General features: G+C 37.2%; 1 protein-coding gene across 10 annotated transcripts in view; it reads right to left on the bottom strand.

The window, feature by feature from the left end:
- Positions 1-19,076, bottom strand: part of ARHGAP32 (Rho GTPase activating protein 32) — a 314,573-nt gene that overhangs the window by 209,472 nt on the left and 86,025 nt on the right. For 3 of the 10 annotated variants that reach the window (NM_001142685.2, NM_001378024.1, XM_017018597.3), the window contains exon 1: positions 17,552-17,794. The exons of the other annotated variants lie outside the window; for them this stretch is intronic. In NM_001142685.2, the coding sequence (NP_001136157.1) occupies positions 17,552-17,667 (116 nt within the window). In that variant the 5' untranslated portion in view covers positions 17,668-17,794. Of the gene's footprint in view, positions 1-17,551; positions 17,795-19,076 lie in introns of those variants that run through there. 10 annotated transcript variants of the gene reach the window in all.

Below are 19,076 nucleotides of genomic sequence, written 5' to 3' on the forward strand. Positions count from 1 at the left end.
AAATGTCCCTGTCTGACAGCTTTGAAGAGAGCAATGCTTCTCCCAGCACGCAGCTGGAGATCTGAGAACAGGCAGACTGCCTCCTCAAGTGGGTCCCTGACCCCTGACCCCCGAGCAGCCTAACTGGGAGGCACCCCCAAGCAGGGGCAGTCTGACACCTCACATGGCCGGGTACTCCCACAGACCTGCAGCTGAGGATCCTGTCTGTTAGAAGGAAAACTAACAAACAGAAAGCACATCCACACCAAAAACCCATCTGTACATCACCATCATCAAAGACCAAAAGTAGATAAAACCACAAAGATGGGGAAAAAACAGAACAGAAAAACTGGAAACTCTAAAAAGCAGAGCGCCTCTCCTCCTCCAAAGGAACGCAGTTCCTCACCAGCAACGGAACAAAGCTGGATGGAGAATGACTTTGACGAGCTCAGAGAAGAAGGCTTCAGACGATCAAATTACTCTGAGCTATGGGAGGACATTCAAACCAAAGGCAAAGAAGTTGAAAACTTTGAAAAAAATTTAGAAGAATGTATAACTAGAATAACCAATACAGAGAAGTGCTTAAAGGAGCTGATGGAGCTGAAAACCAAGGCTCGAGAACTACATGAAGAATGCAGAAGCCTCAGGAGCTGATGCGATCAACTGGAAGAAAGGGTATCAGCAATGGAAGATGAAATGAATGAAATGAAGCAAGAAGGGAAGTTTAGAGAAAAAAGAATAAAAAGAAATGAGCAAAGCCTCCAAGAAATATGGGACTATGTGAAAAGACCAAATCTATGTCTGATTGGTGTACCTGAAAGTGATGGGGAGAATGGAACCAAGTTGGAAAACACTCTGCAGGATATTATCCAGGAGAACTTCCCCAATCTAGCAAGGCAGGCCAACGTTCAGATTCAGGAAATACAGAGAACGCCACAAAGATACTCCTCGAGAAGAGCAACTCCAAGACACATAATTGTCAGATTCACCAAAGTTGAAATGAAGGAAAAGATGTTAAGGGCAGCCAGAGAGAAAGGTCGGGTTACCCTCAAAGGGAAGCCCATCAGACTAACAGCAGATCTCTCGGCAGAAACCCTACAAGCTGGAAGACAGTGGGGGCCAATATTCAACATTCTTAAAGAAAAGAATTTTCAACCCAGAATTTCATATCCAGCCAAACTAAGCTTCATAAGTGAAGGACAAATAAAATACTTTACAGACAAGCAAATGCTGAGAGATTTTGTCACCACCAGGCCTGCCTTACAAGAGCTCCTGAAGGAAGCGCTAACATGGAAAGGAACAATCGGTACCAGCCGCTGCAAAATCATGCCAAAGTGTAAAGACCATTGAGACTAGGAAGTAACTGCATCAACTAACGAGCAAAATAACCAGCTAATATCATAATGACAGGATCAAATTCACACATAACAATATTAACTTTAAATGTAAATGGACTAAATGCTCCAATTAAAAGACACAGACTGGCAAATTGGATAAAGAGTCAAGACCCATCAGTGTGCTGTATTCAGGAAACCCATCTCACGTGCAGAGACACACATCAAAATAAAAGGATGGAGGAAGATCTACCAAGCAAATGGAAAACAAAAAAAGGCAGGAGTTGCAATCCTAGTCTCTGATAAAACAGACTTTAAACCAACAAAGATCAAAAGAGACAAAGAAGGCCATTACATAATGGTAAAGGGATCAATTCAACAAGAAGAGCTAACTATCCTAAATATATATGCACCCAATACAGGAGCACCCAGATTCATAAAGCAAGTCCTGAGTGACCTACAAAGAGACTTAGACTCCCACACATTAATAATGGGAGACTTTAACACCCCACTGTCAACATTAGACAGATCAACGAGACAGAAAGTCAACAAGGATACCCAGGAATTGAACTCAGCTCTGCACCAAGCGGACCTAATAGACATCTACAGAACTCTCCACCCCAAATCAACAGAATATACATTTTTTCAGCACCACACCACACCCATTCCAAAACTGACCACATACTTGGAAGTAAAGCTCTCCTCAGCAAATGTAAAAGAACACAAATTATAACAAACTATCTCTCAGACCACAGTGCAATCAAACTAGAACTCAGGATTAAGAATCTCACTCAAAACCGCTCAACTACATGGAAACTGAACAACCTGCTCCGGAATGACTACTGGGTACATAACGAAATGAAGGCAGAAATAAAGATGTTCTTTGAAACCAACGAGAACAAAGACACAACATACCAGAATCTCTGGGACGCATTCAAAGCAGTGTGTAGAGGGAAATTTATAGCACTAAATGCCCACAAGAGAAAGCAGGAAAGATCCAACATCGACACCCTAACATCACAATTAAAAGAACTGGAAAAGCAAGAGCAAACACATTCAAAAGCTGGCAGAAGGCAAGAAATAACTAAAATCAGAGCAGAACTGAAGGAAATAGAGACACAAAAAACCCTTCAAAAAATTAATGAATCCAGGAGCTGGTTTTTTGAAAGGATCAACAAAATGGATAGACCGCTAGCAAGACTAATAAAGAAAAAAAGAGAGAAGAATCAAATAGACGCAATAAAAAATGATAAAGGGGATATCACCACCGATCCCACAGAAATACAAACTACCATCAGAGAATACTACAAACACCTCTACGCAAATAAACTAGAAAATATAGAAGAAATGGATAAATTCCTTGACACATACACTCTACCAAGACTAAACCAGGAAGAAGTTGAATCTCTGAATAGACCAATAACAGGAGCTGAAATTGTGGCAATAATCAATAGCTTACCAACCAAAAAGAGTCCAGGACCAGATGGATTCACAGCCGAATTCTACCAGAGGTACAAGGAGAAACTGGTACCATTCCTTCTGAAACTATTCCAGTCAATAAAAAAAGAGGGAATCCTCCCTAACTCATTTTACGAGGCCAGCATCATCCTGATACCAAAGCCGGGCAGAGACACAACCAAAAAAGAGAATTTTAGACCAATATCCTTGATGAACATTGATGCAAAAACCCTTAATAAAATACTGGCAAACTGAATCCAGCAGCACATCAAAAAGCTTATCCACCATGATCAAGTGGGCTTCATCCCTGGGATGCAAGGCTGGTTCAATATAAGCAAATCAATAAATGTAATCCAGCATATAAACAGAACCAAAGACAAAAACCACATGATTATCTCAATAGATGCAGAAAAGGCCTTTGACAAAATTCAACAGCCCTTCATGCTAAAAACTCTCAACAAATTAGGTATTGATGGGACATATCTCAAAATAATAAGAGCTATCTATGACAAACCCACAGCCAATATCATACTGAATGGGCAAAAACTGGAAGCATTCCCTTCGAAAACTGGCACAAGACAGGGATGCCCTCTCTCACCACTCACTCCTATTCAACATAGTGTTGGAAGTTCTGGCCAGGGCAATTAGGCAGGAGAAGGAAATAAAGGGTATTCAATTAGGAAAAGAGGAAGTCAAATTGTCCCTGTTTGCAGATGACATGATTGTATATCTAGAAAACCCCATTGTCTCAGCCCAAAATCTCCTTAAGCTGATAAGCAACTTCAGCAAAGTCTCAGGATACAAAATCAATGTACAAAAATCACAAGCATTCTTATACACCAACAACAGACAAACAGAGAGCCAAATCATGAGTGAACTCACATTCACAATTGCTTCAAAGAGAATAAAATACCTAGGAATCCAACTTACAAGGGATGTGAAGGACCTCTTCAAGGAGAACTACAATCCATTGCTCAAGGAAATAAAAGAGGATACAAACAAATGGAAGAACATTCCATGCTCATGGGTAGGAAGAATCAATATCGTGAAAATGGCCATACTGCCCAAGGTAATTTATAGATTCAATGCCATCCCCATCAAGCTACCAATGACTTTCTTCACAGAATTGGAAAAAACTACTTTAAAGTTCATATGGAACCAAAAAAGAGCCCACAACGCCAAGTCAATCCTAAGCCAAAAGAACAAAGCCGGAGACATCACACTACCTGACTTCAAACTATACTACAAGGCTACAGTAACCAAAACAGCATGGTACTGGTACCAAAACAGAGATATAGATCAATGGAACAGAACAGAGCCCTCAGAAATAATGCCGCATATCTACAACTATCTGATCTTTGACAAACCTGAGAAGAACAAGCAATGGGGAAAGGATTCCCTATTTAGTAAATGGTGCTGGGAAAACTGGCTAGCCATATGTAGAAAGCTGAAACTGGATCCCTTCCTTACACCTGATACAAAAATCAATTCAAGATGGATTAAAGACTTAAATATTAGACCTAAAACCATAAAAACCCTAGAAGAAAACCTAGGCATTACCATTCAGGACATAGGCATGGGCAAGAACTTCATGTCTAAAACACCAAAAGCAATGCCAACAAGAGCCAAAATTGACAAATGGGATCTAATTAAACTAAAGAGCTTCTGCACAGCAAAAGAAACTACCATCAGAGTGAACAGGCAACCTACAAAATGGGAGAAAATTTTTGCAACCTACTCATCTGACAAAGGGCTAATATCCAGAATCTACAATGAACTCAAACAAATTTACAAGAAAAAAACAAACAACCCCATCAAAAAGTGGGCGAAGGACATGAACAGACACTTCTCAAAAGAAGACATTTATGCAGCCAAAAAACATATGAAAAAATGCTCATCATCACTGGCCATCAGAGAAATACAAATCAAAACCACAGTGAGATACCATCTCACACCAGTTAGAATGGCAATCATTAAAAAGTCAGGAAACAACAGGTGCTGGAGAGGATGTGGACAAATAGGAAAACTTTTACACTGTTGCTGGGACTGTAAACTAGTTCAACCATTGTGGAAGTCAGTGTGGCCATTCCTCAGGGATCTAGAACTAGAAATACCATTTGACCCAGCCATCCCATTAATGGGTATATACCCAAAGGATTATAAATCATGCTGCTATAAAGACACATGCACACGTATGTTTATTGCGGCATTATTCATGATAGCAAAGACTTGGAACCAACCCAAATGTCCAACAATGATAGACTGGATTAAGAAAATGTGGCACATATACACCATGGAATACTATGCAGCCATAAAAAATGATGAGTTCATGTCCTTTGTAGGGACATGGATGAAATTGGAAATCATCATTCTCAGTAAACTATCTCAAGAACAAAAAACCAAACACCGCACATTCTCACTCATAGGTGGGAACTGAACAATGAGAACACATGGACATAGGAAGGGGAACATCACACTCTGGGGACTGTTGTGGGGTGGGGGGACGGGGGAGGGATAGCATTGGGAGATATACCTAATGCTAGATGACGAGTTAGTGGGTGCAGTGCACCAGCATGGCACGTGTATACGTATGTAACTAACCTGCACATTGTGCACATGTACCCTAAAACTTAAAGTATAATAATAAAAAAAAATTGGAAAAGAAAACATTTTTCTTTATTTGAAGACATAACATGTAAATAAACAATCTAAAAGACTCTATAAGCAATTTAGAATTAATACATTAGCAAGATCACTGGTTTACATGGTCAATATATTAAAAAAATCGTGTATTTACATATACCACTATATACAATTATTTATTAAGAGAAAAAATAAATCAACAATACTAGTTTTAATATTTTTCATACAATAGACTACTACTCATAAATAAAAAGGAATTTGCAAAAAGTAGATGAATCTCATAAATGTTGTGCAACAGAAGTCAGACATTAGAGTACATGCTATATAATTCTATTGGCATTAAGTTCAAGAACAGGCTAAATTAATCTATTGTGACAAAGTCAGAATAAGTTACCTTTGGGAGAAGTACTGACTAGAAGGGACAAAGGTTTTGTGTGTGCTAGAAATAATCTATACCTTGATTGGGTTGTGATTATCTGGGTATATATTTTGTATAAATTTATCAAGCTGTACATTTATGATTTGTAGACTTTATTATATGTGTTATACCTCAAAGTGTAAAAGTTTATTGGTAAATGTTACACAGTTTAAGAGGTATAAAAATTATATTTATATATACATTATGGGCCATGCAATGATGAACCAACTCAATAAGAAATTTAGTATCCATTTATTTGACTCTCTTGTTCTATGCTTTTAAAATTATGGACAAATTTTATGCTTAAAGTGTTTGATTGTAGTTTCATATCTAACAAAAAAGCTGTAGTTAAGGGCTGCCAACCATAATACCTAAGTAACCTACTGCTGTATTTTTTACCAGAGTTTTCTGTAAAACATCTTCAGACTTAAACCTGAATGCATTCAATGAAAATGAAAAATAGGAGAGAAAACTACTTCCCCCAAATTGAAAGATTATGGGAACCAGCCTTATCATCTTGCTGTTTCCCTCACTAAGAAATTATGTAAATATCTGTCACATATTCACTTTATTTGTATGAGATTCTTGCTCATAACTTATGAAAAATTACACTTGACAATGTTGAAGTTCCACAGAGAAGTCCAAGCGGATTTCCTTCTCAAGACAAATATAGCATATTACCCAGGAACTGCACCTCAGGGACTGTTCACTCCCAGGAATATCTTTTCTTCATCCCTGGAATAAATTCCAAGCAGGATATCTTTCTCTTTCTATTCTTCCGATCGGTTTTTGTTTATTTCTTATTCTTCGCCAAATTTGGTTCTGGCTCTGCAACAGTTGTCGCCAGTTACTATCCACTGGTGGCAACAATGGCTGGAAGTCCATTTTATGGTCAGACCATTTGATATCTACTCTCTATTAGCAACAGAGAATTTGGTTTGTTAGTCAATTTTTGTCTGTCTGTGTACAAATATGCCTCAATTCCACTGGAGAGAACAGCTCTTTGAGATATGTCCGAAGTGCTCAGTTTGGTGTTCTCTATTCATTTTACCCACGGCTGATGATATAAATCTGAGACTACCAGCGTTCTGTGTGCCTGGAACTGATAAAAGTCATTATCTGCTTATCATAGGGTGCAATAAATTTTCCTACTTTTCAAAGGATATTAATAAATTAAATTGTAAAGCCTCTTAAAATACAGGAACTCTGTTCTGGTTAGCCTATGTGGACTAATAATCACTTACATAAATCTAATATTCCCAGAATTCCTAAAAAATAAAGAAACTAACCCTCTAACACCGATGAGGACAGTTACATTGGTGGTGACTATGGAACAGAGGTTTGCTGAAGCCAGTTGGAATTCAGTTTTGGTCACTTCCCACTCAAAATGTCTTATATACTATAATTCTTCATATGTATTACAATTGAACCATACACAAATCAAAAAGGCATATAAAGAAAAATTATTCCCATCCCTGTCTCCAATCTGCCCAATTCCAACCCATTAAATTCTCTACCTGCCAAGGTAATCAATTTCCAATAGAGTCTTCTAAACTTTATTACTATAGCTGCATATATTCACACATAAATTATTCATATGTATGAAAAAATACAGCCACACAGAGTATAAAAGCAATGTGTAAATATGCTGCTTCTTAGTAGGTTTACACATTGTTGTATACCTTGTTTTCCTCTAACTTTTCCTGGAGACTTTCCATATCAATACATAGAACTTCTTTGCTGTTTTTACAACTATATAATGTTCCCCTGTGTAGCTATTCCTTAATTTATTTAACTAATCCCCTACTGATGAGTACTTGAATAAATTCTTTCCAATCTACTGCTATTACAAACAATGCTACAATAAGTTTGTGCATTTATATGTCATTCTATATATGTACAAATATATCTGAAAAACAAATTTTCTACAGTAAAAAAAATATTTTTATATATTAGCCCATTTTTCTATTGGGTTGTTGGACTTTTTCTTAACCATTTTTAGTTCTTTGTATATCAAGGAGATTAATCCTTCATCTGTAATATGAGTTTCAGGTATTTTTCCCAGGTCGTCATATGTCCTTGCTTACTTTGTTTTTTGTAATGCAGATGTTTTATATATTGTAATGTAGATATTTTATGTAATGTAGATGTTTTTTGTTTTATGTAGCCTCATTTCTCAACCCTTTCCTTCATGGCTTTTTCTTTTACTGCTTTAAATCATAGTTCAAAATGCCTTCCTATTATAAAAAAAAATTGTGTTAATTCTCTATGTTTTCTATTACCTTTTTTTTTTTTCTGGAGACAGGGTCTCGCTCTATTTCCAGGGCTGGAGGGCGGTGGTGTAATCGTAGCTTACTATAGCCTCAAACTCCTGGGCTCAAGAGATCCTCCCACTTCAGTCTCCTGAGTACCTGGGACTACAGGCAGGTACCACCATGCCAGGCTAAGTTTTTTATTTTTCTTTTGTAGTGACGGGGTCTTGCTATGTTGACTAGGCTGGTTTCAAACTCCTGGCCTCAAGGGATCCTGCCACTTTAGCCTCCCAAAATGCTGGGATTACAGACATGAGTCACTGCACCCGGCCTTAAAAAATTTTTTATGTTTTCATTTAGTACATTTAAATCTTTGATCATTTGTAATTCATCCTTGGTATGAGGTAGGATTCCTATTTTCTTTACTTCCACAGGTGAATATTCAGTTTCTCCAAAACTATTTACTGAATAGTACATATCATCTCCATTAGCTTTTGAGAAGCCATCTTTACCATACCTAAATATTCCTATGAACGTGGGTATATTTTCTAGGATTTCCATTCTACCCCATAATACTTCTCTTCATGTCCCACAACCAATGGGTTTTAATTACTGAGACTAAGACTTCACAATACAACATCTAGTTGCAAAAGTCCTCTATATCCACTACCCTTGTTCTTTTTCTTTTTCCTACAAAGTTTCTTGGTTAAATTATTTAGCCAAGATCAATTTATTTAGTTTTTTAAAAAGGATTCTTATCATCACATTAAATTTATAAATTACCTTAAACTAACATCTTTATGGTGCTGTGTATTTCCAGTTATGAAGAAGACATATTCTTCAATTGTTCCAAACTTCTTTTATGTTCTTCAATGATGTTTTACATTTTTATCATGTAGGTTTTAGAGTTTGTTGTTAAGTTTATTTCTGGTATCTCATCTTTGTTGCTCCTGAAAGTGGCACTTTTTCTTCCATTGTATCTTCTAACTAGTTATTGTTTGATATACTATTTTAAGCCCTGTTTTGCAGATAGGAAAAGTGGAATGCTTGACCATATCTTCATCATTCCTGATGTGGTAAACTATTTTTTTCTGGAAGACCCCACCTGCCAGCTGAAGAAGACACTGAAGCAGCCATTCACACTCCTAAGACCCACCAAATTGCATGAAAGGCACCACGATTCTGCCTCAGTGAATGTTCCCTGCAGAAAAGTTTCCTCTCAAAACCTATGAAAAAAACTTCCCAGTGGACTTCCAATCCTAGACTGCATATATGTGAGGAAGCAAATCTCTCCTTCTCCAAGTGTCTCAAAAATCATTAAGTTAAATAGGAAAAAATAAATCCTTAACAGAATGGTATGAATGGCACCAGAAGGCCAGAGATCAGACTTTGATACACTTCTGAAAGACTAAAAGACTGAAAAACTTAAAAGCAAGTGGTATCATACTGACCTAAAGAGAAAAACAGAAGTTCAAAGGCTATACCCCACCCCTTTCCACAACAAGAGAGATGCTTGCCCCCAGGGTACTAACAAAAACTGGAAAATTACCCTGTAAAGTAATTTAACAACTGACCAGAAGGACTAGGGCTCCTAATGTGGGTGTGTGCACCTAAGACAAGCAAGGCAGAGCCATATGCATCATGGGGGCTACTGAAGAAAACACAGCAGGGGAAAGGGCAAAGAAGCGCAGATACTTTGCTTAGCAGCTAAAAGATAGGTTCTGAACAGTCAGAATAAAACAGAACATGTACACTGAATGAATAAAGCTCCAAAGCTCAAAAAGAAAGAAAATAACCTAAATTTATTATAAAAATACCTTGTGTGTATGTATCTATACGTGAAGAACCCTTAAAAATAATTTATCTACTCAAATTGAATTTGAACAATTAAAAAAGAAGATGAAATTAGCTAAGAGAACAAGTACAAAAAAACTTCAATTCACAAAGTAAAATGTAAAAAGAAATATATCATAAAATAAAAGATTAAGGGGACTTAATAGAGGCAAAGGCAATAATAGGAAACAAAAAAATTTCTTCCCTAACACAAAGGTTTGACTCTGTAGACTGAAAGTCACTAAGTTCCAAAATAAAGAACTCACTAAGCTCCAAACTAAAGAACGGGTAACAAAATATACATAACAATAAAAAAGAAACTCTTAACAAGTAGTCTGGCAAAAAGAACATGTTACCTACAAAGGAAAAGAAAAAAACAGATTGGCATTTGAGCTTATACAAGAAATCAGAGAATATCACCCAGAGAACTTAACTGAACAAAAATACTTAAGAACGTATCAGGCAAATACAAATGATCCAAAACTGATACATTAAGATAGAATGTGATACAGAGAAGAAGCAACATAAACACTAAACAATGACACACTGTTGGTGGGACTGTAAACTAGTTCAACCACTGTGGAAGTAGGTGTGGCAATTCCTCAGGGATCTAGAACTAGAAATACCATTTGACCCAGCCATCCCATTACTGGGTAGATACCCAAAGGATTATAAATCATGCTGCTATAAAGACACATGCACACGTATGTTTATTGTGGCATTATTCACAATAGCAAAGACTTGGAACCAACCCAAATGTCCAACAATGATATACTGGATTAAGAAAATGTGGCACATATACACCACGGAATACTATGCAGCCATAAAAAATGATGAGGTCATGTCCTTTGTAGGGACATGGATGAAGCTGGAAACTATCATTCTCAGCAAACTATCACAAGGACAAAAAACCAAACACCACATGTTCTTACTCATAGGTGGGAATTGAACAATGAGAACACTTGGACACAGGAAGGGGAACATCACACACCAGGGACTGTTGTGGGGTGAGGGGAGAGGAGAGGGATAGCATTAGGAGATATACCTAATGTAAATGACGAGTTACTGGGTGTAGCACACCAACATGGCACATGTATACATATGTAACAAACCTGCACGTTGTGCACATGTACCCTAAAACTTAAAGTATAATAATAATAAAAAAATGACACAAATAATTAAATCTGAATGAAAAGCAAAAAACATTAAACTGACGGAGGCAGAATGGGTGAATAAAAGAGTTTCAAAAGTCTCATCTAGAAGTATGAGACTGAGAGAAGGAGGAAGTTAAAGTTTCCTAAAGATCTTATTTTATAAGGAAGAGAAGTAGAGGAGAAGAGAGAACCATGATTTAAAACACAAACATACATACACAGAAAGAGAGAGAGAAAACCTGGGTGAAAGAAATCATTTTATTTTCAAATAGAGAAAATACATGTATGATTATGAGAACATGGAAATGGAAACTAATCATTAATGTAAAGAAAAGTATAGCGCAACTTCCAAAATTAAGTATCTGGGAAGGTTTTGCCTGCTCTGAATATCATCTTGCTAAGCTAGTCACTTGACATATTTAATTTAAAAAAAAAGAAAATTAACTAATTTATAAATAGAGCTTTAAATGTTTCAGGGATTTCAATTTATTTTTGAAAGTCCTATTGACTATTTAAGAGAGTTCAGTGCCAAAGTGAAATGCAAGAGTTAGAAAAATTAGGTTTGGGTTTAAACTTTTTAACTTCAATTAAACAACCTAATAACCAGGAACTTTTATACAGGTCTATATCGTTTGTGTACTCTAGGGCCTTTCTTGAACATCAAAATACTCATACAGATAGATACAAGAAAGGCCCACCTTGGACTCCATCCCAAAGGGCTTAATTACTAAAATACCAAGAAAGTCTTGTACTGGCATGCCTCACGGTTAAGACAGATTCATTTCACAGATTATGAAGACAGCCTAATGGCTAGACTCCATTACTGCCTAAAATGTTCTGAGATTAAGGGATGTTCATATCAGACTTTGCTGATTACTATTAAATTCACTGATGAGAGTATGTTGGGTGAATGTTATACTTACTGTTAAAAGAATATTTTAGAAGCTTCTACACAGCAAAGAAAACAATCAACAAAGTGAAGAGACAACCCACAGCAAGGGAGAAAATATTTGCAAAAAGGGATTAATTACCAGAATATATAAGGAGCCCAAACAACTCTATAGGAAAAAATGTAATAATCCGATTTAAAAATGGGCAAAAGATTTGAACAGGCATTTCTCAAAAGACGGCAACAAATGGCAAACAAGCGTAGGAAAAAGTGCTCAACATCACTGATCATCAGAGAAATGCAAATCAAAACTACAGTGAGAGATCATCTCACCCCAGTTAAAATGGCTTATATCCAAAAGAAAGGCAATAACAAATGCCGGCAACAATGTGGAGAAATGGGAACCCTCACACATTGTTGGCAGGAATGTAAATTAGGCAACTACTATGAAGAAAAGTTTGGAAGTTCCTCAAAAAAACTAAAAATAGAGCTACCATATGATCTAGCCATCCCACTGTTGGACATATACCCAAATGAAAGGAAATCAGTCTACTGAAGAGGTATCTGCACTCCCATATTTGTTGCAGCACTGTTCACAATAGCCAAGATCTGAAAGCAACCTAAGTGTCCATCAATGGATGAATGGATAAAGAAAATGTGGTACTTATACCCAATGGAATACTATTCAGTCATAAAAAATAATGAGATTTAGTCATTTGCAACAACATGGTTGGAGCTAGAGGTCATTATGTTAAGTGAAATAAGCCAGGCACGGAAAGACAAACATCACATGTTCTCACTTATTTGTGTGATCTAAAAATCAAAACAATTAAACTCATGGACACAGAGAGTAGAAGGATGGTTACCAGAGGCTGGGAAGGGTGGTGGGGGCATAGTGGGAGGCTGGTGGGGATAGTTAATGGGTCCAAAAAGTAGTTAGAATAAATGAATAAGGCCTAGTATTTGATAGCACAATAGGGTGACTATAGTCAATAATAATTTAATTGTACACTGAAAAATAATTAAAAGAGTATAATTGGATTGTTTATAAAACAAAGGGTAAATGCTTGAGGGGATGGATATCCCATCATGAGGGGATGGTTACCCCATCTTCCATGATATGATTATTACACATTGTGTGCCTATATCAAAACATCTCATGTACCCCATAAAAATATATACCCACTATGAACCCCCTAAAATTAAAAATAATTTTTTAAAATAATATTTTAGGGGCTAAACTAAATCCCAGATGTTTCTTCAAGGTTACAAAACAATATAAGTTGTAGCTTTTTGGGCAAAATATACATCTTTTTTGACATCATAAGTAATAGGTTATTAAAGATGTGGTGCCTTTGAAAAGCCACACAGTATAAAATGGGCCTGGGTGTGATATGGTATTTATGGACATACAGTTAATTGGGTTTTTTTGTTTTGGTTTTTTTGTGTGGTTTTTTTGTTTGTTGAGGTTTGTTTGTTTTTGAGATGGAGTCTCATTTTGTCACCCAGGCTGGAATGCAGTGCCGTAATCTCAGCTCACTGCAATCTCTACCTCCCAGGTTCAAGCAATTCTCCTGCCTCAGCCTCCCAAATAGCTGGGATTACAGGAACCCGCCACCACACCCAGCTAATTTTTGTATTTTTAGTAGAGACAGGGTTTCACCATGTTGGCCAGGCTGATCTCAAACTCCTGACCTCAGGTGATCTGCCTGCCTCAGCCTCCCAAAGTGCTGGGATTACAGGTGTGAGCCACCATGCCCAGCCTCAGTTAATTGTTAATACTACCTCTCTGTACTTCCAGGATCATTAAAACTGGCTGGGAAGCCTGAAATCAAGAATTTCTGCAGAAGATAAAAGAACAGGCAGAGTAATAAAAACAGAAAATCTTGAAATTGTTTTATGGGCTTCCAGGGGAAATGAGCCATTAAAAGAAATCATCTAGATCTGATCTGATCGCCTGGGCCTGGGAGTTCAAAGCTGTTTTGAGCCTAGAAGATGTACAATACCACAGTCAAGACCCTTACTACCTACTTAGACTGCCACAATAGCTTCTAACTTGTGGCATCCTTCCAAATAAGATAACTGGTCCACGGTCCAGGGGTTGGGAACCCCTGAGGTAGAGGATGAATAATGCAACCAACCAACGAGTCAAGTGCATGAAGTATCATTAGTTCTATAATGCTATAAATCAATAAAGGCATTGTCCCCCCCAATTAAAATATGTTCACCAAATCATCCAGTTTAACTAAAGTCAGAACTTTCTCGTCACTTAAAATGAATTGCCTTAATAATGGAGATATACGTGAAGATCAGCGATCTGGGCATCTACAGATCGTGATCAAAAATATGGTTCAATTAAGCACTATATCATCTCTGTAGCTGCTTCAAATTATATGTCATATTTGCCAGGCTGTCTATCAGCCCATAACGTGGTATTAGGGAAGTCTAAACAAAATCATATGATAAACATTTCTACCTTCAAATGCCAAAGAACTAGAACCTTTCATGATTCCTAGGTGTCCTAGAGGTCACATTTTTTAAAAGTCACATTATTGTGTTCATTACTTCATTTTTATGATGGTCACATAATCTATATGTCATTGATGCTCATAACCTCCTCAAAAAAAAGGAATTTCAAAACTTGAGATATCAGCTGTAGCCTCTTATAAGTTATCACTTAGCAGAAAATAGCATTTAGCAGAAGATAGCCCCAAAAATCTTTCATTAAAGTCTTCACTTTCAAAGTCAGTTACATCTGGGTTCAAATTTTTGTGCTACCACTTGCAAAATTTTGCTCCACCATGACAAATGTGGGCTGTGTGACTCTCTGAGCCATAAATTCCTCACCGAGGAAATAGGAAAAATGATACCTGCTTTATAGGAGTGATAAGCAGTTAACTGATACACTGTATAAAGCATATATATGGCCTAGTACATTACATATAACAATTTCTAAGTAAAGTTTTTCTTTCTTGATAGAATTAAAACATTTATGTTTTTCCTTTTCTGCCTTATATTCCTCCTTCTTATCCAGGGATGGATTTTTCTAATCATCTCTAGGAACTATTTTATTCTAAGGACTAAATATTCTAGTCTAATAACTATTTTACCACAGTGACAAGGTAGGTAATAATACCGACTACAAATAAGAAATCAGAAAATGAAAGATCTGTGAGTCAATGGCAGACAAATTTAAACTACCACCATGAAGGAGACCGGCAACTTCCCATAGTGAAAGAGTGTTAATAAAAAGGATCCTTTCCTCCAACTGAGTCCAAAAATAAATGCTATTTCAAAAGCTACTGGACAAACATTAACTTGTCTCTGAGACTACTTCCTCCTAAAGCAGATGGCACCTGGAAGCACCAGAAGCCTACATTCTAGGTGTGGTATGACTTTACTCTCTTAGCCATGGTGCCTTAAGTTACACAAGAGCAGGCTTTTAAGAGTGCATTTAAAATGTAGTTTACAAGCTATTCAGGGAAAAAGAAAAGTGCACAATCTTTTGCCCTCATCTCAGCTATGTGTGTGTATGTGAATGGAAATGTAACCAATACGACAGCTTGATGTCACATGTATTTGCAGAGATTTTTATAAAAACACAGTAAGACATTTTTAAAATTATTACATTGATTTTACAAAAACAACTGTCATACCACACTGAGTCTACTATTTGGTCCTCCCAAGGTTACAGCTGCAACTCCTATCCGACCCTTCCCCTTCCACACCCATGCCTCCATTTTCCTGTAGGGCATCTCGGCAGGAACACCACCACGAGGTTGTGAAACCACTCTGCTGCCACATTTCCTCATGCCTCACTGCTGAATGCGTGAGAGACACTACATGAAATTGGGCCTTGCCCAGACCTCTTTGTTACATTTGTAAATAAAATCAGATCAAATCACAAAGATATAATTGATTTAGGAGAGCCATGGTGCTATTCAGATAGGAAATATAAACAGAAGAGAAATGCCCTATGGTATCATAGTTTCCTTAAACAACACATCACTAGCTCAGTTTCTCAGAGTGAAAATGCTGTCACATACTCCCAAGGAAAAGAAGAGCTCATCCTTACACAAATTTGCTTTTAACTGTCAAAAGAAAATCCCAGAGAGACGCCCACTGCCTTACAAGTAAATCTAGGATTACAGTACCAAATCTGTTATAAAAACAACAATGAAATAAGTTCCAAGTTGTTTCTTCCTTTGACAAATACCCAAATAACTTCCATAATTTGAATACCAGGTCAAAAAGTTTTATTACAAGCAAAACAAATACTTCAGTCCTACTCATTGTTAGCAAGACACAAACCATATTAAAAAGCAGAACATGTGACTAACAATTAGCATACCTTGGAAGGGAAGGGACTTACTCAAATTTGAAAGGCTAGATAAAATTATGGGAAAATGAGACAAAAGTTCAGACAAAAAATAATCATATGCTAATAATTCATTTTTATACTCTGAAAATTATTCTTTTAAAATTTTAAATATACTTCTCATTTATTTGAACCCCAGAGTAAAAAATTTAGTGAGGGTTATCAAGAGTTCCCAATATTCAATCCCTTCCATCATTTAACCTAGACTTTAAAAAATAAAATTTGTGGATAAAGAAATCCTTTGACTCGAGAAAAGGAGAAACTCTTTTTCAGCATTAAACACAAAGACAGTATCTGATGAAAACAGTATATTCACCTATCCAAGTTCTCATAGGTAAACTTATAAAAGATGTTTAATTGCACATGTGAGTGGCAGTGATAATATGCAGCAACAAACTTCAAACTTCATCAAGAGATTTTTGTGATACTCAAAGGTATTACATCGCTAACTCTGAAAGAAAAAGAAAAGCCAGAATAAAGCCCCCTAAAATTTGCAACAGTACAACAGAATGAATGAAACATTGGTTCTGTTTTCACAAACTGGTTAAGACATCTTTCTTCACCACAGACACTAAACTGAGAGCTGCTTCATCAGGAGGCATCCTCTAAAAACTTCAATTATGAAGTTACTAATACTACCAGAGATTCAAAAACCAAGAGAGATTTGGGGGAAAGGGGGCATGAGATACAAGATCAGAGACAAGGGTAAAGATCAAAGCCACAAAATAACCAATCTGTACTTAATCGGAATTTTTCATACCCATGCATAAGGCAAACAAAGCAGGCAGGCAGGCAGGCACGCACACACACACACACACACACACACACACCACATTCCAAGAAAAAGAGGAAGAAAAATCTATTAGATACAAATTCAGATCAAATCTATTTGATACAAATCAGATACAGGAAGGGGTAGTAGTTCATTATGAGTGTCTACTTGAAATTCCTGAAAGGCTACTACAAAACCTGTCTAACACCTTCTCCTCCTGGCGTTCTAACAAGTCCTTTAAAATGCATTTTACAAGTTCAGGGCAAGTTGTGGAATGAGGAGTGCTATATACAACTCAAAACCTGCTCCCTTGAGCTCCAAACCTTCCCCCAGAAAACAGAAAGTCTTATTGGAAAAAAGACCGAAATGCAGAGAAGAAAAAGGGGTGCGGGTGGGGGTAGGGAGTGGACAGGACAAAGGAACTGTGAATTCCATAATCACCTGAACTTCTCTTCCCTTTCTTCCTCTTCACAGTCAGTCACCTGGATTATAACTTCAGACTCCAACCAGAAGACACTGTCATCCCCTAAAGTGCTACTCTCACTTTCAGTCTCCATCTTGTACTTAAAAAACAAAAAAAACTAAACCTCCAGGCATGGAATAAAAAGCACCAACATTCAGGTTGTTCAGCTCTACTCATGTATACTCAGATGTGTGTCTGGTGCCCTAGTGACAGGTACTGGTGCTGGTTTAATTACAGTCAGGGTACAGACAGGAAATCACAGGCAGCACAGTCACTGCGTCTGACTGCCATACTGGTGACACCTAGACCCTCCCACTGCCTTAGGCTGCGTGACCTACATAACCAAAAGCAGAATCTAAATGAAGGTGATTTTTTACTAATTATTCTGTAATAATGACTCTTCTCAAAGTTTCCACTTAATAAGTTAAAAATAGGTATTTTCAAAATGCAGGCTTTATTTGTATCCTTTTTTGATCTCGGACTCCAGAAAGGTAAATAGAAAACTAGAAAGAATAACACCATCCACTGGCCAAGCACATGAGAAGCACAGTTATAGATCTCACAGTTAAGGAGGCTCACAATAAGTAGAGAAGATAAGTATGCTCTAGGGACCTGCCTAGGTTCATGCCTTCCAATATTACACCCATCTTTCCTTCCTCTCAGTAAGGACTGCCATATGCATCTCTGCTCAAGTATCCAGAGTGAGACATAAAAGCTGGGCTTGTCCACAGTCCTTGAAAGAAAAAAGTTTAAGTGTCCCAAGTTCAAAGATGCTGACAATCACATCAAATAAAAGCATGCAAAGTTTTACACATTTAAACTGCAAACAGTCATGGTGGCAATAAAATGACTTGCTGGGAAATGAGTGAAAGGTATAGCATCTATGACTGTCAACAACACAACTGTTACTTAGAAAAGAGCCATGTTGACAGAAACTACTGACCTGCTGGATATTCATGGCTATTTGTCTTTTACCAAGCAGCAACAAACTGCAAAGCCCTGACTTTCCACTGTATCTGATTTAATCAAAAATTAAGAAGACATCTACTGAAGTCTTCTTGAATTTTCATATTTGAAAAATAAAGAGCCAAGCACAGTGGCTCACGCCTGTAATCCCAACACTTTGAGAGGCTGAGGTGGATGCATCACTTGAGCTCAAGAGTTCAAGACCAACCTGGGCAACTTAGCGAGACCTCATCTTTATGGGGGGGGGGGGGGGGGGGCGGGAAACAGCCAAGTGTGGTGGTGCACCCTGTAGTCCCAGCTACTCAACAGGCTGAGGTGGGAGGATCGCCTGAGCCTGGGAGTTCAAGGCTGTTGTGAGCCATAATCACGCCACTGCACTCCAGCCTGGGCAACACAGCAAGACCCTGTCTCAAAAAAAAAAAAAAAAAAATATATATATATGCAGGTCCCTAGAGCATATAATATATATATTATATATAATATATATATATTATATATAATATATATATATTATATAATATATGTTATATATAATAT

The sequence above is a fragment of the Homo sapiens genome, chromosome 11, assembly GCF_000001405.40.
Source record: "Homo sapiens chromosome 11, GRCh38.p14 Primary Assembly".
NCBI classification, from domain to species: domain Eukaryota; kingdom Metazoa; phylum Chordata; class Mammalia; order Primates; family Hominidae; genus Homo; species Homo sapiens.